Source organism: Homo sapiens, chromosome 1 (assembly GCF_000001405.40).
Source record: "Homo sapiens chromosome 1, GRCh38.p14 Primary Assembly".
Taxonomy (NCBI): Eukaryota; Metazoa; Chordata; class Mammalia; order Primates; family Hominidae; genus Homo; species Homo sapiens.
Window position 1 is genome coordinate 81,780,690 of NC_000001.11, and position 23,116 is coordinate 81,803,805.

General features: G+C 39.9%; 1 protein-coding gene across 64 annotated transcripts in view; it reads left to right on the top strand.

Moving 5' to 3' along the window:
- The window catches only part of ADGRL2 (adhesion G protein-coupled receptor L2), a 687,801-nt gene that overhangs the window by 474,558 nt on the left and 190,127 nt on the right, over positions 1-23,116 (top strand). For 12 of the 64 annotated variants that reach the window (NM_001366002.2, XM_006710488.3, NM_001366006.2 and 9 more), the window contains exon 1: positions 20,245-20,379. The exons of 11 other annotated variants lie outside the window; for them this stretch is intronic. The gene's annotated coding sequence lies outside the window, so the exon portion shown is untranslated. Of the gene's footprint in view, positions 1-19,686; positions 20,073-20,244; positions 20,380-20,752; positions 21,541-21,763; positions 22,048-22,583; positions 22,614-23,116 lie in introns of those variants that run through there. 41 more of the 64 variants (XM_017000784.2, NM_001366005.2, XM_047416105.1 and 38 more) reach the window with 8 other exon arrangements.

Consider the following 23,116-nt stretch of genomic DNA (forward strand, 5'->3'; position numbering starts at 1 on the left):
ATATAATAATAATGGTTATGTAAGGTGGTATTGTAATGATTTTAATGATTTAATCTGTAGGTTTCCTGGACTTTTTCCTTCTCATTTAAGTGATATGCATTTGAAATATTAATCTGTGTTGAAATGTGCTTACTTTGTTGTAGGTTTACAATGAATTGCAGGCTATGTCCCCCCACAGAATAAAGAGCTTTTGGCATCCCTAAGACCAGGGTGGTAATCCTTGTTCTGTTATTCAAGGGATGCATGACAATACATCCTCTTAACCTTTCTGATTTTAGTTTTCTCATTTGTTAAAGGGTTAAATATTTCTATCTCTTACAGTTGTGAGCATTGATACAGAAAAGCTAAATATCAGTGGCTGTTTTTGTTTTACTTATTTATTTATTTTCTCTTTTCCTCCTCCCTCTGTCTATGAGCTGCTTGATGCCAGACACTATTTATATTTATTTATCTTTGTATTCCTAGAGTCTGGCACTCAATAGCTACACAGTATGTTTGTTGAAGGAATTATTTACCAAGGTGAATAACATGGAGTGGGTCTGAGGGTGGCAGCATTTTGTAGGTCAATGTTTTCCCATCTCTACTCTTAAGACTACAACATTGAGCTTTGTGGAGGTGCTGCAGGACCTGCCGTAGTGACAAGGGTGTAGCTGAAGTTTAATTCTGCCCCCTATCTTGCTTTAATCAGTGCAGATATACTTGTTCCTCATTAATATGTAGAACTGTTTTTAGAGGAAAAGGTTTTTCAGCTAAAAAAAAAGGTTGAAATGAGATCTGTAGCTAAACAGAATCTAGGCTTTAAAAGGAGTTTCAAAAATGCAGCTTTAAATACTTCTTTTACTGTTACGCACCTTAAGCCAACCAACATCTCTACATCAGAATTTCCTTGTTATCACAGGACTGATAGCATTTCAGGTTGGTTACAGATGGGAGGAAGATATCACATACACACCTGCGATTTCCCAGTGTATTTAGCCAAGGATATAGAACTTGGATCCAGGTGACCATGGGTATCAGAAGCAGGTGCATGCAGATAAAGCATATCTTGGCTTGATTTTTCTTTTCCTCTGGTTCCTCTGGGTCACACAATTGCCAGGGACACTACTGCCAGCATTGAAAGACACAATTTTAAAAACTCAAACTTGTTACTCTGGAAGCATTTATATTTCACGGCCTAGGCACTTCCATGCAAGGAAATGTTTGCACATATAGGCTCTCCCACTTGTAGAACCAAATTGGCACAAAGAAGAAAACCTCCTGCAGGCAGGATGGGGAAGAGCAGACAAAGTCAGAGCCATGGGTCCCTAAATAGTGTCTCTGCTTCCAGCTCCCAGTGTTCCCGTATTTTTGCAGGTTTGTTTTGAAGATTAAAGCAGGGTAACACTAAAATATTTAATAATGTGTAAATGGTTGGGCTTGGGCACCAATAGATCAGAACAGATGCTGGTCATAAACTACCAGCAAGCCCTGCCAGTGCCTACCAGCCAAATGCCAGCCTTAAAATAAAGTAACATTAAAATGTCCTCACAGTATCTGATACATAAATGGTGCTTGATTAATGTTCATCCCCTACCCTGTTTCCTTCTTCTTATTGAATTAAATCCAGTAAAACCAAAAAATGGCAAACTCAAGAGCACACATCTTCAAATAACCTAAGAAGTCAATCGTATTATTTTATCAGTATAATATATTAATGAGGGGGTAATTTCTAATGCCAGAATTCATTTTTTGGTCTACAGTAAAATGGATATACTTTAAAAAATTAATTATAAACTATTTCCTGCATTAGAACCTAGCTGTTAACTAGTAATAGATGTTAGTTACACCCAGTGAGCCTATTCTCTGTCTCTTCAAAGTTTACCATTTTTCCTGCAAGAAAGGGTTAATTCTCTCAGGTGCTTTGAAGCCGTGTTTCTCTGGAGTTGATAGTGGAAAGGGAGACCACTCTATCACAACCACTTGAGTCTTTATCTCCACTTCCCCAAGACATTCCAGAGATTTTGATATCCTCCTTCCTGTTAAGAATCTTTGCCAGAATGAGCATTGGAAGTCGGTGTAGGGTTTCTTAGGTAAGTTAGCTTTTTATAAAAAGTTCAGCTAGCCTTTGGAGAGTTTTACTGGTTGGGAAAGCAGAGCTTAGAAGGAAGGACATCTTTGTAGCCAAAGTGAAACAGGACTGTATCTACCTGAGTATCAAAGAAGACAGGGCACAGGGAAGGATCAGAGTAGGGAAGGGATGGAAGGACAAGTAATTGGCCGGCTTTATCATTTAGTGAGTTCTCTCTGGCCTCATCATCAGGTGATGCTTTTGCCATGCGTTGGAAATCTGTAATAGCTCTTCTCTTTGTGTGGCTCTTAGAAAGCTTAAAGGCAAATTAAGGGCTTATGTCCAGCATGCATATAGGCATACTTTGCCTGTATTCACCTTTCTTGCTATTTATTTATTTATTTTGAGACAGAGTCTGGCTCTGTCGCCCAGGCTGGAGTGCAGTGGTGCGATCTCAGCGCATTGCAACCTCCACCTCCCCGGTTCAGGCAATTCTCCTGTCTCAGCCTTTTGAGTAGCTGGGACTACAGGTGCACACCGCCATGCTGGCTAATTTTTTTTTTTTTGTATTTTAGTAGAGACGGGGTTTCACCGTGTTGCCCATGCTGGTCTCGAACTCCTGAATTTAGGTAATCCACCCATCTCGGCCTCTCTAACTGCTAGGATTACAGGCGTGAGCCACTATGCCTGGCCTCTTTATTTGCTTTTTAATTTTCAATTTTTTTATTTTTTCTTTGCCTCTATCTTCTTCTTATTTTTATCTCTTGTTGTTTGTAAATCTCCTTAAATCCCTTTTAAAATATGAAAGAAAATAAATAAGTAAATAATTAACTCTATAAACATAACTAAGAGTGAGCAGATCCTTCAAAATGATCATTTAAAACATTAGAAATACAAACAATAATACTAGCATATGTACGATGATAGGACTTTTACGTAGTCAATATAAAGCTATATATTTCAAAATGAGCTTACAAAATTCTTTGCTATAATACAACACAGGAAGTAAGATAGAATATTCAAAATTGTTTCATATGAGCTTATACAAGTTTAGGTATTTATATAACAGCATTATAAAAGTTGTCAACTGTTTCAGGCTATTATACTGTTTTATGCTATTAAAGATACTAAAATAATAGCAAATATTGGAAGAGTTGTTATGTGCCAGGTACTATCTGTATTAATTCATATAACCCTCACAACAACATTATAAGACACAGGTAATGATCATTCCCATTTTATAAATTAGAAAAAAGCAGTTAATTTAAAGTTGAGCTTCCATAACATGCTTAAAAATGCACAGCTTGAAAATGATGAAGCTGAGATCTGAACTTGGGTGGTCTCAATGAAATTCTAAGCTTTTAAGTTATGTTGCTTTTCTAAAAATAAAAAAAAGCATCTTAATATTAACATTAACTAGAGTTAAGTGACCTTACACTTTATTTTATGAGGACTTTTCAGATCTTTTCAACAGATCTTTTTCAAGGTAATGGAGAAGAAAACATTAATCTTTAATATAGCTTTTACTTAAAAAAGTAGTATCTGTGACTTCTTTGAAAGCATGTGTCAAGTGTTCAGTAGTGGTGTTTCAAAAACTTTTACAGAGCAAAGTAATCTCAAATGGTATTTACCATATTCTTGACTGTAGAATTTTAAATAAGAAGTGAATATAAAAGATTACAGCTATGAATAGTACTGATTGTAGCCTTGGCTAGGTGCAGTGGCTCATGCCTGTAATCCCAGCACTTTGGGAGGCCAAGGTAGATGGATCACTTGAGGCCAGGAGTTTGAGACCAATCTGGCCAACATGGTGAAACCCTATCTTTACTAAAAATGCAAAAATTAGCAGGGCATGGTGGTGTGTGCCTGTAATCCCAGCTATTCCGGAGGCTGAGGCACGAGAATCACTTGAACCTGGGAGGTGCAGGTTTTAGTGAGCTGAGATCATGCCATTGCACTCCAGCCTGGGCGACAGAGTGAGACCCCGTCTCAAAAAAAAAAAAAAAAAAATTGCAGCTTCATGGGATGCTTACTAAGCATCAAGAAAAAAATTCCGCTTTTCAATGTATGTGTTTTGTTAAGGGTCCAAAAATAGTAAAAATGTTTCATTTTTTGGTATGGACACAGATTAAGTTAATTGGTGTTAATTATCCAATTTTATGAATTAACTATATCTTTTATCTTTCAATTTGGCAGAAGTAAAAAGGGAGAGAAGACAAAATTTTTGTAAGCTAAATACTATGAATATGAGAAGCTTAGTTTTACTTTTTTCATTGAGAAGTGACTTGCTTAGTGGGGGAAAAAAAAGAGAAAATTTCTATTACGAAGGGGATCCAATCATATTTGCCAACATTAGTTTCCAGGTTGTACAGGGAATTATTTGTGATGATTTTCATTTAAATGGAGTCTATTCCATCAGTTGACAGATATTTGTTTTACTAAAGTTTTAATAGTAAAGTTGCATAGATAATTATTTAATAAAGTGGTAGGCAGGAGTTTGTGTGCCCTAAGACAAAATTAAGAAAATTACAGTTGATTCAAAGACGTATAAAACTGTTAGAAAAAGGAGAGGAGTATTTCAATGAGACTACTACAATGTGCACAGAGGGTCTTTTCAGAAATTATATATTACTTAGGATTTTAAGCTAATAATAAAGAATATTATGCAAATGATAAAATTTATAGAAAGCTTTAAAACTAGCATGTTTAGGCCAGGTGTGATGACCCACACCTGTAGTCCCAGCACTTTGCGAGGCTGAAGTGGGAGGATTGCTCAAACCCAAGAGTTCCAGACCAGCCTGGGCAGCATAGGGAGACCCTGTCTGTACAAAAAAATTAAAAATCAGCTGGGCATGATGGTGCGCACCTGTAGTCCTAGCTACTCAGGCAGCGAAGGCAGGAGGATTGCTTGAGCCCAGGAATTCCAGAGGGCCTTGAGCTATGATCATGCTACTGTATTCTAGCCTGAGCGACAAAGTGAGACCCCGTGTCTAAAAAAACGACAACAAAAAATCCTTCCAAAACCGAACTAGCATGTTTAATATCAATGATTCTCATCTTGTGGAGATGAGAATTTAAAATGAGTTATAAGCTGCATGTAGTGGCTCACACCTGTAATTCCAGTGATTTGGAGGCCGAGGCAGGAGGATCACTTGAGCCCAGGAGTTTGCAACCAGCCTGGACAAAATAGAGAGACTCTGTCTCTACAGAAAAAAAAAAATTGGTGGGTGTGCTGGTGCATCCCTGTAGTCCCAGCTACTTGGAGGCTAAGGTAGGGGGACTGCTTGAGCCTGGGAGGTGGAGGCTGCAGTGAGCCATGATAGCCCCATTGCACTCCAGCCTGAGAGACTGAGGGAGACTTCATCTCCAAAAAATAAAATAAAATTAAATAAAGAGTTATATTCCATAGGAAAATGTGTTGGCCTATAATCATGCTAAAAATTTGTATATGAAGATAGAAAATACAAAAGAAAATTAGGAATAATGATAATATACTAATAACACTCACCAATAAGAAATATAGCATAAAATTTGGCATAATAAAAAGTATTCTTAATTTAGCCAGGTACAATGGCTCACGCCAATAATCCTAGCACTTTGGGAGGCTGACACGGGTGGATCACTTGAGGCCGGGAATTTGAGACCACCCTGGACAACATGGTAAAACCTTGTCTCTACTAAAAACACAAAAAATAGCTGAGTTGTGGTGCACACCTATAATCCCAGCTAGTCATGAGGCTGAGGCATGAAAATCACTTGAACCTGAGAGGCAGAGGTTGCAGTGAGCCAAGATCGTGCCACTGCACTCCAGCCTGGGTGACAGAGTGAGACTATGTCTCAATAAATGTAAATAAATAAATAAAAATAAAATTTAGAAATTCTTAAACTCTGGAAGTCATTCCAATTTGAAGCAAATATTCTTCTTTGAAAAGTATAATCTTAAGGAAGAATTTTTTAAACATATCTGGGGCCATCAACTACTTCTGGTAACTTTTAGTGAAGGCTTAGCTTGTTTGCCTTAAAACATTTTGTGTTTGGCGGTTTCTGCTATATTGTGTTTTTATTTAACTACATCTATTAAACTGTATATTAATTCAGAAAAGATTGTTTACTTCCATTTGTTTGATTGAAAAAGTCTGTGATATGGTTTGGCTCTGTGTCCCTACCCAAATCTCATCTTGAATTGTACTCCCATAATTCCCACGTGTTGTGGGAGGGACCCGGTAGGAGATAATCTGAATCATGGGGATGGGGGTGGTTTCCCCTATACTGTTCTCGTGGTAGTGAATAAGTCTCATGAGATCTGATGGTTTTACCAGGGGTTTCTGCTTTTGAATCTTCCTCATTTTTTCTTGCCACCACCATGTAAGAAGTGCCTTTCACCTCCCGCCATGATTCTGAAGCCTCCCCCGCCATGTGGAACTGTAAGTCCAATTAAACCTCTTTTCCTTCCCAGTCTCAGGTATTTCTTTATCAACAGTGAAAACAGACTAATGCAGTCTGATTTATTTCATGTGTCATTTCTTGGTGAAGTATAGTTATGGGATATTAGGTAATATGAAAATAATCAAAATCATTATTTGTTTCTGTCAAGGCACCTTTCATGTAGGGAAACTAACTGAACAAGTCACATAAAAATGGCTGGGTGTGGTGGCTCATGCCTGTAATCCCAGCACTTTAGGAGGAGGAGGGTGGATCACCTGAGGTCAGGAGTTTCAGACCAGCCTGGACAGCATGGTGAAACCCTATCTCTACCGAAAATACAAAAATTAGCCGGGTGTGGTGGCACACGCTTGTAATCCCAGCTACTCGGGAAGCTGAGGCAGGAGAATTGCTTGAACCTGGGAGGCGGAGGTTGCAGTGAGCTGGGGTCGCACCACTGCACTTCAGCCTGGGTGACAGAGCAAGACACTTGTCTCAAAAAAAAAAGAAAAGTTTAAGATAAAACATCAATAGAAGAGTGGTGGGAAGTGGTGACAGGTGGGGAGAAAAAAGAAAACTGGTGAAAGTGAATATAGAGAATAGACTAAGTCAATCAGTACAAATAAAGGGGCAATATAATTTCAATATGACCTATGAAGTAAGAACACAAATGAGGTAATACATATACAACCCTTTGAACAAAGTAAAGCACTATTACTACTATTCAATATATTTCTTCATATGTATATTGACAGTATAATTCACACTTTTTTCAACATAAAAATTATTGAGCACCAGAGCTCAAACATTAAAATGTTTATAGGGGCCAGGAAGAAAAATAATGGGTGAAAGATACAGTCCTCTTGATCTATCTTCTATTTTCCAGTTTATAGAAATGTGGGTGATGATACATTTCAATTTCCTTTAATGCCACCATTAAAATAGAACATAAAACATTACACAAATGGAGTGATTCATGGCACAAGATACTTTGCCTTGGTTTTGAGGAGGTAATAAGAAATGACAGAGAATACAGGGAGTAAGAAAGGGTGATAGTTTGGATTTTTGTCCCCTCCAAATCTCATGTTGAAATGTAGTCCCCAGCATTAGAGGTGGAGCCTGGTGGGAGGTGTTTGGGTCATGGGGGAGGATCCCTCATATATGGCTTGGGGTCCTCCCCACAGTAGTGTGTTCATGCAAGATCTGGTTGTTGAAAAGAGTCAGGGACCTCTCCCTTCTCTCTCTTGCTCCCTCTCTCTCCATGTGACAAGTCTGCTCCCCCTTTGCCTTCACCATAATTGTAAGCTTCCTGAGGCCCTCAGCAGAAACAGATGCCAGCATCAAGCTTCCTGTACAATCTGAAGAAACATGAGCCAAATAAACTTCTTTTCCCTATGAATTACCTAGTCTTGGGTATTCCTTTATAGGAATGCAAAACAGACTAACACAGAAGGCACGTTTAGTTTAGAAGGTAAAGCCTCTCCTCCTGGATGTTGCTATGAGCTAATATACACCAAATGCTGCCAGATCTTTCCATTTTTTCTTCAGAAGTTGGAAATCCATATTTTTTTTTTTGAGATGGAGTCTTACTCTGTCACCCAGGCTGGAGTGCAGTGGCACGATATGGGCTCACTGCAACCTCTGCCTTTCAGGTTCAAGTGATTCTCCTGCTTCAGCCTCCCGAGTAGCTGGGATTACAGGCATGTGCCACCAAGCCCAGCTAATTTTCTTGTATTTTTAGTAGAGACGAGGTTTCACTGTGTTAACCAGGATGGTCTCGATCTCCTGACCTCGTGATCCACCCGCCTTGGCCTCCCAAAGTGCTGGGATTACAGGGGTGAGCCACTGCGCCTGGTCTGGAAATCCATAATTTTATGGAAATCTCCTAATTTTTAAGAGTTGACAGATGATAGATTAAAAAATGAAACAAAACCAAGGACAGTGCGACCCAGTGTGTATGGTGCAAACAAACTACATTTGTGGGCTAGATTTTATACAGGCCACAGCAGTTTGAGACCTCTATTTTATGCTTTGCTAAGAGCTGGGCATATAAAGTTTAGAGAGATTCTAAGGAGCTTACAGTCACATGGGGAAGAGAACAAGTAAACCAACAAATACAGTGATGTGTAATAAGTTCTATGATAATCAATGTTTGTTTTGATGATCCTTCAACACTGAAAAATTCCATATCATCTAAGAAAGATAAAATGATGTTTAGTATAATTTTCTTAGACAGCAAAATACTGTACTAATACATTTTGAAAACTTTTTTTAAAAGCAGGAATGTTGCTGGGAGCAGTAGCTCATGCCTGTAATCCCAGCACTTTGGGAGGCCGAGGTGGGCAGATCACGAGGTCAGGAGATTGAGACCATCCTGGCCAACATGGTGAAACCCCATCTCTATTAAATACACAAAAATTAGCTGTGTGTGGTGGTGGGCGCCTGTAATCCCAACTACTTTGGATGCTGAGGCAGGAGAACTGCTTGAACCTGAAAGGTGGAGGTTGCAGTGAGCGCCTGGTGACAGAGCGAGTCTCCGTCTCAAAAAAAAAAAAAAAAAAAAGAAATGTAAAACAGGAATGTAAACAAAAAGAAACAGCATTTCAGGTGTCAGCAAAAAATCCAAACATCTCCTTTTTTGGACATTTCTATTAGTTTACTCTTTAAGATAATATTAATAAAAAAATTTCTGGTGATCTGGCAGGGAAAAATTGGTTAAAAAGGCTTTTTGGTTGTTGGAGGTAGTGTTCCAGGCTTTGACAACTTAGTGAGTCATAAGTGAGCTACGATAGAAACATGGTACTTTTTAGCATAATGTATAATTTGTCGAAGATGTTTTTCCTTTGAATAAAACCAAAATACCAGGGTGCAAAACATAACCCTTGAAAAGTTGAATGTAAGTCCTGTTGATTCCAATTTCTGAGGTTCCCTGGACACATCTTTAACTCATCTAAGTTGTTGGGACAGGAAAGGTATAAGGGAGAAGAGTGTTCTAGGGAAAATGTGCTTGACAGCCAACATTTCAGTTTTTCTGAATTCAATAATTCACATGCGTTACTTTCCTGCTTTCCTTGAGATATTTCCCACCTATCTAATGCACGCACACACACACACATGAACACACACAAAAACACACACTCAACAGGATGATTAGTAGTACTAGAAACTCCTTTGACAATTTGTCTACATTTTTGTTTCTTTTTACTTAAATAACACACACACACAAACATTGTTATTCTGGAAAATACTCAAATTTTCATTGTAATTACTAATTTATGCAGGCACTAAAATTTGTTTACATATGGCCTACAAAAATATTTCAATTAATTGACAAAACAAATTTATTGTTATGTAAATTTGTGTGTTTATATGTGGTGAGTACATTTATATAAGATTTCTAGGTTATTCAACTTGCAATATCTATATCAGCAAAAGCAGTGCTGCAGAATATGGACAATATACTGAACTAAATATTACAATGGTATTCATCATTATAGGAATCTAACTCTCATTTATTCCAGAAATACTTTCCATCAGCCAACTACAGCTAGACACTGAAAAGGTCACTGTTCTTCAAAAAGCTTCTGAGAATAAGTGAAATGTTTCAAAATTACTTCAGTATGATTGGTGCATACCATTCTGAATAGTATAATACTTCCTATGCCATACAAAGTTGGGAGCCATTTCTAGATACACAAATGTGAGCAGGCAGCCTAGGCACATGGTGAAACCCTGTCTCTGCCAAAAATACAAAAACTAACCCAGCCTGGTGGCACAGGCCTGTGGTCCCAGCTTCTTTGTGGAGGATGGGGTGGGAGGATCATTTGAGCCCAGGGAGGTGGAGGTTATGGTGAGCTGAGATGGCAACACTGCATTCCAGCCTGGGTGATGCAGCAAGACCCTATCTCAAAAAAAAAAAAAAAAAAAAAAAAAAGAATGTGAGCAGGGAGGGCAGTGCTTCCTAAGAGGAAGTTCTAAGTTCTAGAAAGGAGTTTGAGGGGTCTTTTTTCTTTTTAATTAAAATTTAAAATTTAAGGCATCTTTTAAAAATAGGAACTTTTAAAAGACCATTATCTCCCCAAGAGTCATGAGCTATTTTGGTAGACCAGAGACTTTACAAAATTGTATTAGATTGCTGAGAGCTTCTCATACCTGCCTCCCAAGGTTTGAGTATTGTGGGTAATTGGTACAAAATGGCACAGTGTTATAGCTGGGTCTGTGGATGGTTGGATAAAAGTGAGAGGACTGAAGAAGTTGGAGGCTCAAAGTTTACTGCATGCCACAAAAACACATTGAGATACCATTATGTGTGAAATTATGTCCTCTCTAGTAAATTAATGCCAAAGGAAATCTGTTGATAGGAGGGGTAACAAAATTGAAATAAAATCTGAATGAATCCACTCAAACCTAATATAATGGGTCAGTGGAACAGTGGCACACAGGAAAAAAAACGGGATGGAATTTCCAAAAAAAGAAAAAAAAGGAGATGAGCAGGTTAAAAAAAAATAGATACATATTACCTATTATGTTCTGTGTAGGATATACTTCAGTGAAAGCTAATTTTCCTGCAGGTTTAAAAATAAAATTGATAACTTGTCATAAATTTATTCTATAACCTCACCAAAGTTGGAAAATTATTCCTTGTTTTCATTATTTTTCTGAGTAAAAGTGCATTTTCAGAGAAAAAGGAACAAGAATAAAATGTATTTGAGAGAAAATTTTGTGAAGTAATAGTCTGTGAAGAAATAGTATATAGTTAAAATTTCAGAATGCCATGCGTATTAAGCATAGTCTATAAATCCTTATGTCCTAATTAGTTTTGTGTATTAACTTATAAATAGTTTTGTATATTCTTGTTTCCTTTCCGTGCGTATTTCTCCTTTGTTTCCACAGATGATTTATTTCTCTGGGGAGGGAGTATGTTTACCATTCTCCAGCAGCACCTAGAGCACTGAATTGAGGAAAGCAGGTTCCTATGACTGCTGAATAACTGCCTTTATTATCCTTACATTTTGAAAAATATGTCAGCCTACAATTTCAGTAAAAACGCAAAATTAAAAATGAATATAGAAAATCATGTGCAACTTTCCCCTGACATTAAATTATCCTGTTGTGCCAAATGTAGCACAAATGGCCTTCTAACAGGGGTCCTATGCAAACAGTGGGTGATCACGGAACACATCAGCAGCAACACCAAGTCACACTGGTGATGTCAAGGACAATGTATTCTGAATTCCATTTTGTATTTCTTATGTGATATTGTGCCAGAACACAAATATATAGATGCAGACATATACATATACATGTGCATATATATATTTTTTACAGAATTTAAATAATTCATTCAAATAAATTATTTAAATGATTTAAAAATTCCTTTGTCAAACAGATTAATGGAACCTTGTTATTCAAAAGATAAATCATTTTATATGAAGTGGCAAAGACTTCAAGGGCTAATAAAGGTTTTATGAGAGATAAACTTTTAATGAATTAATACTTTCTCATGTGCTTATTTTCTATATACATAAACATATACACATATGCTTATGATGATATTTATATCAACATTTCCTGTCTGATTTTTAAGGAAACAGTATTTACAATATTTAACATAAAGTGTTTGTAGAGATTTTATTTTTAGCAGCTGAAGTATAATTCACCAAAGGAGAAAGTTTAAATAATGGTGCTGTAAATGTTATTATTTGTGTAATAAGATAAAACAGACCATTTTTAAAATTTGTAATTTATATGAATCTAGTAATCATTAGTCCTGAACAATTTTACTCAGGTCATTCTCTAGGCTTAAAATTTATTCTGCACTCAAGTCTTTTTGCTACATAGGTCTTAATCAGAAGATGTTTTGCTCTAGAAAATGATGGTGAACTAGTATTTATATAACAAGACCTTACGACCCTGGGAAAAATTTTAAGGATTTTTATAAGGCTCAGTACACATTCTTCAGCGAAATTTTGGCATAGTTTCAATTTTAGACTCCACTGAAATTCAATTGGTTTATTTTATAATTAAAAACAAGAAAATCATAGTAACAAAAATATATAATGTATAGCACTCTTGTTTATAATAGAAACATCCAAGAAACATGCTCTAACTTTTCTCATTACCCCAAAGGGAATTGCATCTTTAATCACACATAGCACAACTGCTTTCTAATTTTGTTTAAAGTATTTCAGTACTTACAAAAACCAGATCAGGTTATTGTAAATCTAGAGCAAATTAGAATCATTGGCCTCTGCTTAGCTCTATGCAAGAGTTCTATGTAAATCATAAATTTAATGGCATATTAAGACACACATCTGTTTCAGTTTTGTAGAAGTTAATAATCTAACTTCAGAGTATTTAAACACTTCTTTCACTAACTGAAAAATTCAGGCAAAGACAGACTTCCCTCAGTATATAAGGTACAATATTTTACTTCCAAATTTTGATAAGCTGTAAATATTCTTAAGGAAAGACAGTTTTCTAAATATTCAATCTAGTATCTATTTTTGACCTTACATGATTTCCTCCTGTACGGAAATAGTCAATATAAGCAAATAGGCGAGCATTATCATCTCAAATCTACACCTGCATAAAATATTTTGATTTATACATATATCAAGTTTAAAATCGTTTTGCAACAGGGCATTGGAGAGAAAGTAAATATTGAATAATTATATGAAAATGTCAAAATTCATTCTTTTAAATATTTTTCAGATTCTTTATTTGATTACCCACAAATTTATTTTTAAATGATAAATGATAGTCTTCTTGGGATTCAGATTATTTGAAAATAATTCACATTCTTGGGTTCCTCAAACATTTACATTTCATAGCCAGCATTTTTACTCTGCTTTTCTCTAATTTTATTTTAACAAACTATAAAAATTGTTTTTATGTTATATCCATTACCTCTTACCTTGACACGTCTCCTCATATATAGCAGTAACCCAGTATTATAATGAATTATTGTGTTTCAGTTGTCATTAGATAATAAATAAGAAATTAGCTTTTCTTGCTGTGGATTCTACATTGTTTGAACAATTAAAAATATATAGTTTGAATTGGGCTACTAATTAGGGTAGTAAGGATATTGTACTAATTAAGTTGCCGTCATTTTCGGGACAACTAAAGTTGCCCCCATAATGAAGGGGGCACTCTTAATGCACTAATAATCCTCGTTAGTTATATTGTAGATAGGTGATTTTGGTAACCAGGACAAATGACTAAGAGTGTGGATGGTCCAGTGAAACACATTTCCATCACTAAAATAAAACCATTCGAAGAATATATTATCCAGGTGATGGTTTAGCAACTTCTTTTTAATGTACAATAACTGGACAGGTTATTTATGTGTTTGTATTTCTAACCTAAAACAAATTTTTCCCCAAATTTTTCATTAAATATTACTTAACAAAACCTTATCATTACTGAATCCTTTCAGTGCTCCTTTGAGATATGAATGACATTTTAATATGATTCTAAATTTGGATGCTAATTTGAAAGAAAACTGATTCTTTTCTATCACAAAAGCATATGCCTATTACATCATTGTTTGGTCTAGGATCTAAGTGATTGATTTCATACTGACCTTAAGAATGCATTGTAAAGAGTTTCAATAAGTTGAAACCTGAATGATACTATTCTTTTATTAAGAAACTATGTTGATGGGAATTAGGTTTATAACACATTATTTTACATTGCAAACTGCTGTTCTACTTTCCAGATGCTCAGACATATTTATTTTTATTAAAATGTGCATGACAAATAAAGGCCTTTAAAAAATAAAGCAGCAAAGTGGAGTAAAAGATCATAGTTATATTGATTAGAGAATAAAATCATGAAAAACATTAGTAAGAGTTAATTTATAGATCAGAAGGATCAACCAAAGTCAAAGTCAAACATCTCATGTTATACAATGTTATGCTATAAAAGATTTTCAGAAATGAAACAGGTCCAGGAGCGATGGTCCGTGGCTGTAATCTCAGAACTTTGGGAGGACTGCTTGAACTGAGGCGTTCAAGACCAGCCTGGGCAACATAGGGAGACCCCGTCTCTAGAAAAAATAAAAAAAATTAGCCAGGTGTGGTGACACTCATTTGTGGTCACAGCTACTTGGGAGACTGAGGTGGGAAGATTGCTTGAGCCCAGAAGGTCAATGCTGCAGTGAGCCATGATTGTGCTACTACACTCCAGCCCAAGCTGGAGTGAGACACTGTCTCAAAATAAATATATAAATAAAATAAAAATACATAAATAAGTTTTTTTGTGTTTAAAAAATACTAAGGGATCATAGAGTATAATTACTTTATGCTGTATAATTATGAAAACTTTAATGTATGAAAACATTATAAGTGTTATACACACTTGAAACAATATGGAAACATTATAAGTGTTATATAATTGTATATTTGACTCACTTTCTAAAATGCAGAGAGGTTGTATGTGAGTTTGCTTCCTGACTCTTAAAAGCCTTTGCAAGTTTTGCCATACTACAGTGAACTATGACATGAATAATCAAAGTCATATTCGAGAGGCACTAAAAATTCAATTTGGACTATTCTGTGACATTGCTACTTGGTTATCTTTAAGGATTTAGATTTGATAGAGTTACTTCTACTGTTAACCATCTCTTTGCTTTTGTTCTGCACCTAAGCAATACATGATACTTTATCAAGAACTGCCCATTCAAAGAGTTGTAATTTTAGATTATTCTTAGTTTACCTTCAACAATTTTAAAGAAAGTTTAAATAAATTTAATTCATCGTTGACAGTGGTGGAGGTTTGTGTGCACTAAAAGGGGATCAGGAGGTATTTTATTTTTGTTTTGTTTTGTTTTGTTTTTTGAGACGGAGTCTCACTCTGTTGCCCAGTGCCCTGGCTGGAGTGCAGTGGCACTATCTCGGCTCACTGCAACCTCTGACCCCCAGGTTCAAGCAATTCTCCTGCCTCAGCCTCCCGAGTAGATGGGATTATAGGCGCCTGCCACCGTGCCCAGCTAATTTTTGTATTTTTGGTAGAGACGGGGTTTCACTATCTTGGCCAGGATGGTCTTGAACTCCTGACCTTGGGATCCACCTGCCTTAGCCTCCCAAAGTGCTGGGATTACAGGCGTGAGCCACCACACACTGCAGGAGGTGTTTTTTTAAACCACGTACTGTTAATGAGAAAACAAGGTTATGAGTATTTATGATGGACAAAATTACTAGAAGTTATAGACAGCTTTGTATAAAATTAGTGTTCTTTTGCTTACACTTTGTGATCTGACAGAAGCATTGATAAAAGACCTATAAGACCCAACTATATAAAATTCTCAAGATGCAGAGATTAATGAGAGTTATAGGAACAATCTATGGGAAAGAAAAACTTTGAGTTGTTTAAGACTCAGTGGAACAATAATTATGAAGAATATCGTTTTAAATTTGCTTACTTTTGAGTATCATAATGGTAACGACATAAAAATTTCCTAAATCTTTATATACAATTATGCATATATTAATTAACACGTGTGGTGCACAGAAAAAGTCATGTTACCAGTTGAACTAGTGGATGCTTTTTTTAAAAAGTATTAATTACCAAATGACAGCTATTAATAATTCGTGATTATATACTTCTAAATTATACCATTAAACACAATATGCCTTAATTATATTTACATTATACTTTAAACTGTCATTACTTTTGGAGACTGCATCTCTACATTTTGGATAGGGTTTGGCCTTCTTGGACAAAATTTGCTAAGCCTATAGAGCAGGGAGAATAGCTAAAACCTTACTGGCTTTGCCAAATGCTTTCATATGTTTTTGCTCTTACGGAAAATGAGTTTTGATTTCTTTTCAGCCTACATGCATGGCAAGGCAAAAATTGAAAACAAAGCTAGCAACTTTCAACAAGTTCTAGTTAAGTTTGGCATTCATATATTGCTCTGATCTGCTCTAGAGCTTTAATGTAGTTTATTTTCTAGAGTAGGAAAAACTAGTTTCAGCACCAAGCATCATCAACAAGTAATGATGAAGAAAATGGAACTGAGTTAGGTTTAGGATATAATCTAGCTAATTTTATTTCTATTTCTGAATTAGAAATGAGAGTCATTCCACGTGTTTTTTGTTTCTTTTGAAACAATTTTGAAACAATTTTCTTTTGAAAACAAATTTTGTTTCTTTTGAAACAAAATTAGAGTTTCACAAACTCTAATCACAGGCAAAAATACACTCCCCATAATAGATACAACCGTCCCTCCTTAATAGTTTTCTATAACTGTGTTGCTCAAACTTAATGGCAGTTTTTGGCCTACTCTCAAGCCTCAATACCTCTTCCCTTCAACCCCTGACCCTTTTAGAAGTGTCTTAGCTATAGCCATTGGCCAGAGTAGGGCAGTGAAAGTGATACTGTGTTCTATTGGCTTACACTAATCACAATATTCTGCACCTATGTCCATTTTCATACTATTTCAGATTCTTTGTTACTCAAACTGCTGTTATTCTTATGTATATTTTAACAAGTGCCTGATCACTTCCCTATAAACAAAGATACTTAGATGATAAATCTCAGTTTAAAAATTAGCATAACGTCTGTACCAGAAATATATGAACCCACTGAATAAAATAATCTTCAGTTTCTTAAGGTTACTAAAATTAAAAACATGAGTTTCTACAGTTGGAAAAAACATGTATGGTTAAAATGTTTGAAGCCCATCAATCTCTCTAACCACATAAGCTAATGAGTTCCTTCTGTTTTCTTTGAATGAAATCACCATGAGTGGTTATATGTTGATTTAACATAAAACAAATGGAAATGGGTGTTTCCTTTGTCCTTTGTAGAATTTATTTTAAAAAACAATTAGCAACTATTATGAATAAGTCAATGATTTTGCCATTACTTAAATAACAATATAGATTGAGTAATTAAATTGATTGGATTGCAGGGAATGCGTAACATACTCCAACTCTCCTTAACTTGCACACATCTGTAGATATTATTAAGCTTCTCATTTCATTTTTTTCTACCATAACACCTGTATTGTTATAAATTATGTTATGAATTGTCAGAGAGTGCCAGGTAAATTATGTTTTTTGAATGTAGATATACTCTATGGTGTGTGCCTTTTAAGTGTTCCTTTGTAATGGCAGGTTTGTGGCTAACAGCTTAATCTTGAATCTAGCAATATAATTAAACACTATTTCAATTCTTCTTTGTGGATATACAAAGAAGGTTGAAGTATTACCTCTAAAGAATAAAGAAATAATTAAAAATCTTTAATATTTAAAACATTGTCTTACACAAGCAGTATTCTTAAATGTAATTTTAAAACATAGCAAGTCTATTATATTTTTAGGAGAAAAGTGTGGAACTCTTTGAACTCTATAGAATACACATCCTATTGAAATAAGATTTGAAACTTCTATGGGGCATTTTTCTAGTTTGTATAATTTTAATTCACTTTTGATAAATTCTTCCCCCTTCCAAGCATCCTCCTTTTTTGTGATATTGTCTCTTTAAGAATACAGTGAAGAGTGATTCACTTATGTCCTGAGCATCAAAGAATGTCAAATATATCATGCAGATAGATAATGGGTTTTTCCAGAGATTATTTCTGAGAGAGTTAAATAAATAAGTAAATGAGCCAACATATGGCCAGCTTAATTCAGGCAAAAATGTCTATTGATTACTTACTAAGCTCACTAAATAAAAACTTCAGCCTAAGTTTTGCTTCCCAAAAGAAAATAGGATTAGACTGATGCATGCACTCATTGGGGCTTTTGTGAATGGTGCCCAGATGAGTGAAAACCTTCAAAGATGAACAAAGAAGGGCTAAAATATTTTGGTAAATGCAAGTTACTATCAGTTTGACTTATTCTCTTTTGCAATCCTGAATGAAATAATTTTATATTCCTAAGAAGATCATAAAATTACCTCTGAGGTCTGAGAATTAGATAATTCTGCCTTCTTTTCAACGACTTGAAGTAGCCTGATTTAATTTTGCTAGGTAGATCTGTTGTATGTATGTATTTTGACATATGTAAAAACTTAGGTACGTTATAAGGTTTTGCACCAGCTCTGCATAAGTGTACTTTATCCAGACTAGTTTATATCCTGCGTGGTTAATATTTGAATTATGTTATGTAAGAAATTCCAGATGTAAGTGTGTATGTAGTTTAAAGCACCAATGCTCTAAGTTGCTCCTTTTATCTTTTGAAATAGTGAGAATATTAAAACATCAATACATCAGGTAGAAGAAATTAGATTATCAAAGGTTCTTTTTTAATCTGAGAATTACAATGAAACCACCAAAAGAACATGTTCTAGTTATTTGGACACACGTACATTTAACCTATGATTTCCTACAAGTCAAGAACAAACTTGACCAGTAGTTGGATTGGATTTACTTTAGTACTACACCTATCTGGCTTTCTGACAAAATACTGATAGGTATTTAGGATCTTCATGTATTTTGAACAATCTGCTGTTGACATATTAATAACATTGTTTGGAATGATTCCTGAAGTATGATGCTTGCAACATTCCTGCAGCACCAAAAAGTACCTATTGTTTCTGAAAGCAAAGCAGCTTAAGTTTTATCCTACTTTCTAGGTTTTAAATATTGGAGAATCATTTTTTTCTTGAAAAAAAGGTAAATATGCTTATTTAATTGATGGCTGCATTCATTAGTAGAATCAGTGGTTTACAAATACATCTGAAAACATAGCTGCTTCCAGCTCAGAAATTTTGCAATAAAAAAAAAATCCATGTTTGAATTTTGTGGCATGCACAGGACACTTAACTGGCTTTTAAACGTTTTTCCAGCGTGATTCGCCCTGTCCTGCTCTGTTCCTTTCAGCTTAGGTCCATCGTAGGCTCTGCCTGGCTGTTTGCTGACATTGCCAACCGAGAGGGGCAAGGAAGTGTGTTCAGAGGACAAGAGCAAAGGCAGTTTCAATGTAAGGAAATGAGGGAAACAGACCTAACAGCTCTGTGACTATACTTGAGAGTAAAGAGCCTTGTAGTCTCCTTTCCTTCCTTTGCTTATCCTGGTGAGTTTAATCAAAAACAAACAAAACGCTCTTGTGAAATATAGTCAATAAAGTCAAAGTTTAGCTGGCTCTACGTAACTACAAAGAAAAAAATCATCGCAATTTAAAAAAATGTAACTTTCATTAACGAGCGCGCCGGAAATCTCAGGTATCAAAGACGCATTAACCCTGGAGCGTCCCCCGCGCGCCGCAGCCGGACGGAGGCAGCCGCGGCGAACAGACGTTCTTTCTCCTCCATGCAGTTACACAAAAGGAGGGCTACGGAAACTAAAAGTTTCGGGGCCTCTGGCTCGGTGCGTGGAGAAAAGAGAAAACCTGGAGACGGGGTGGGTGAAAGACGCATCCCGGGCGCCTCTCCGAAGTCCAGGCCGGGAGCAAGCTCCTGGGCCTAGAGGGGAGGGGGCCCCGAGCCGCTGGTCATCCCCCTGCGCTCAGCCTCGGAGCGCCGCGCTTCGCGGCGCTCTCCCAAATACTCTTCACCCACTCCAGAAATAAAATAAATGTTTTTAAAGTGCATGTGTGTGGACAGGATGGAGAGCGCGCGCCGGCGGAGCGCGCGGAGGACCCAGCGCGCAGTGAGTGGAGTTTGGGGGTGGGCTAGGGGTTAGCGGTTGAATGGGTGTGTTAATGGGGGGAGCTGGAGGCAGAGCTCGGGGACCTGGGGGTAGGGGGAGCGCGAACCGACTGGGAGGGGAGAGAAGGGGAGGGGCGCGAGCTGGCGCAGGCCGCCTCCGGGGCGCGTTCCACGGCCGTGCGCGCGCGTCCCTCGCCGCCACCGCCGCCCGGACAGCCCTGCGGCCGCCCCGCCGGCGGAGCCGGGGCCGGCCTGGTCCTCGGGCGGCTGCTTGGCCACCGCCACCGCCGTCCGAAGGGCTCGAGCCCGTAAGTATCCCCTTTCGCTCCTCCTCCCCGCCGCTTGGGCGCACAGCCGCAGCAGCTGCTCAAATGGAGTGGAAAACGGCCATTGGGCGACAATGAGTTATAGATTATCTGCTCCACGTTTTGTACTTAGCTGCCTGTAATCTTCTTTTGAGTTTGCCCGAGCCCCTTGCTGGAAAACTCAGGAGGGAGAGATTTGTCCTTTGACGCTGTACACGCTAGTATGTTTATATGATTAGCCCAACTGGCGGGGAGGGCGGATTTGGGGGAAGGAGGAGGAGGAGGCTGGAGGTGACTCCAGTTCAGACCTCGCGGAGAGTCTGTGTCAGGACTTCGCATTCCCCCGTCTCTCTCTCTCTCCCTCTCGCTCCCTCTCACTCTCTCTCCGCTCACACACACGCAGAGGTGCTGGGGCGAAATCGGGAGCTTACCAGAGAATTCCTTGGGATTGTTGGGGGGCATCTCCCCTCCGCTGCTGTGTGTGGCGTGGCTCTTCCCGGCTACTCCTTGCTTCCCCGAGCCCGAGTCTGCGCCGCCAGCCTTCCTTGGGGCAGCGGCCACCGCTCAGCCCCGGCCGGGAGATCCGAAATGTGAGGAGGGGTCGCCGCCGCCTCCCGCCCCAGGCCGCAGGGTCGGCGCGAGGGATGCTATTCCGGCCGGGCGCTCGGGGGGCTGAGGGGCTTCGCCTGACAAACTGAGTTGGCCTCGCGCCCCCGGCGCCCTCCCGCCCGTCGCTTCGAAGGGACTCCCAAGTCTGCGCACCTCTGTCAGGCTTTTGCTTCCACCACCCCTTTCGCTCTGATTCCCGATTTTTTTTTCCTAAGGGAGCGTGCGGTCTGGGGGTGTGTGCGTGTGTGTGAAAGACCTCTCTCGAAGAGCGGCGTGTGGGAAACTGCGGGAAAATGTTGACTTAACCCCAGGAGCCGCCCGGCGCTGGCTGCTCGGCTGGAGGCGGCGGCGGCCGAGCAGGAGGACGCGCCGAGCTGCGGCGCCGTGTCCGGCCGGGGAGCTGCGGCGCTGCCTCCCGCGCGGACTCGGCGGCCGAGGACCCGCTCGCGGCCGGCCTCGGCCCTCTCCGGCCGGGGTAGCCGCTGCCCTCCGCGCCTGTCCCCGCGCGGCCCCCACGCCAGACGGCCCTCCCTCGGGGCGCGCTCGCAGACGGAGGTAAGAGCCGCAGGAGCGAACAATGTGCCTCTGTGCCCAGCTTCGGAGACCTGTTTGCTTTGCGCCTCCAGTCCGGGGGTGGATGCTGGAGGCGCAGGGAGCCGCGGGTTAATGGGGCTCGGCTGTTGCTGTTCGGCTGGCCCAGGGGGAGACCCGCGCTCGCTCGGGCTGCTCGCTCCCTCCCCCCAATCTCCTCTTGGAAATCGATCCGCAGAACTCTCAGTCCGGTCCAGCCGGCTTCTCCTTTTCTCGTGGAGCCATTGTAACGCTCTCCAGGCATCAGTCTAGTTGCCGGGGGCGCTGGCAAGGGGGTTAGGATGAGGCTCCCGTAGCCATGCATTTTTTAATTTCATAAAAGCTTGGGGTCGCAAGGTTCCGCCCGTCCTTTCACTGGGGGCCTGGGGAGGAGGAGTGTGAAGCGCGTCCTCGGCGGAGCTTATTTGCTCCGGGCGCTGGGGCCCGGGGCCACCCCAGCGTCCCGCCCGCTTTGCCCTCCGGTCCCGCACTGTAAGTGGAGCGGGGAGGCTGAGCGGCTGGAGCGAGTTCGGGGGAAGTGGACGGTGGGGGAGGGCTTGGACGAGTTTTTGAGGGTTGCTGTTCCTTCTCGTCAGTGGTTAGGTGGTGTGGGGAGGCGAGGATGACAGTAAAGCGCAGCCAGATGTGGTCGGGCCGCCGCCGGGACTGGCTACGATTGGGAGCGGCGGGGCTGCTGCTGCCAGGGCGGCCTCGTGGGTCGGGAGGGTGCAGGGGCCGGGGACCCGGCGGGCCACGGGGAGGGCAGAGAGCCTCCCGGAGCCGCAGTGAGAGGGCAGCAGCGGGCCGCGTTGGGCCTGCGGGAGAAGTTACGGAGTGTATGCTGCTGGAGTGGCTGTGGGGCAGGGAGCCTCGGGAGCTTGGTTTGTGGGATGGGGGTGCCACTGGGGAGTGGCGACGAGAGAAAGGCGTGGGAGGAGCGCGAGGGAAGGGGAGACCCCCGCGCTGCCCGAGCGTGGGCTCCTTGATTGGCTGGGGCGACCCTCAGGCAGAGGGGGCGAGGGCGAGCCAAACCATGGAAGCGCCCCAGCAGTGTGGAGGTGCGCCTGCGAGACTTCTGCGCTTGGGACCCGTAAAGTTTGTTCCTTTCGCCAGACTGCGGGGTGGGGGTGAGGGGAGAATACTGGAAGCTTTACTTAATGCTAAAGTGTCGCTGAGTGGAGGCTTTTTTTCCCCCCCTCCAATCCTCTGTTCACTCTGTGCTCTCAAAGAATAGTTGGGAGGGACAAGTCCTGCGGTATCTATCATAGCCTTTCTCTTTTTAGGGACTCCTCCTCCTCATCTTTTCTCCCTCTCCCCGCCCTCCATTCCGTTCTTCCCGATACAAACTGTTGTCTCAGATTCCGACCGAGGGAATGTTTTCCTCCTGTTTCTTGAAAGGTGTCAGGCTGCTTAGCAGCTTCTCCCAAGCAGCCTGGGAGCGTCTGAGCTGCAGCTACCAACCATATGGTTCCCGTTACAAAGGCCAGGTTCTAAGGCACTCTCTTCCCCACCCCGCCCTCAATTCTTTGATTTTATTCTGCATTCTTTCAGTACGTGCACT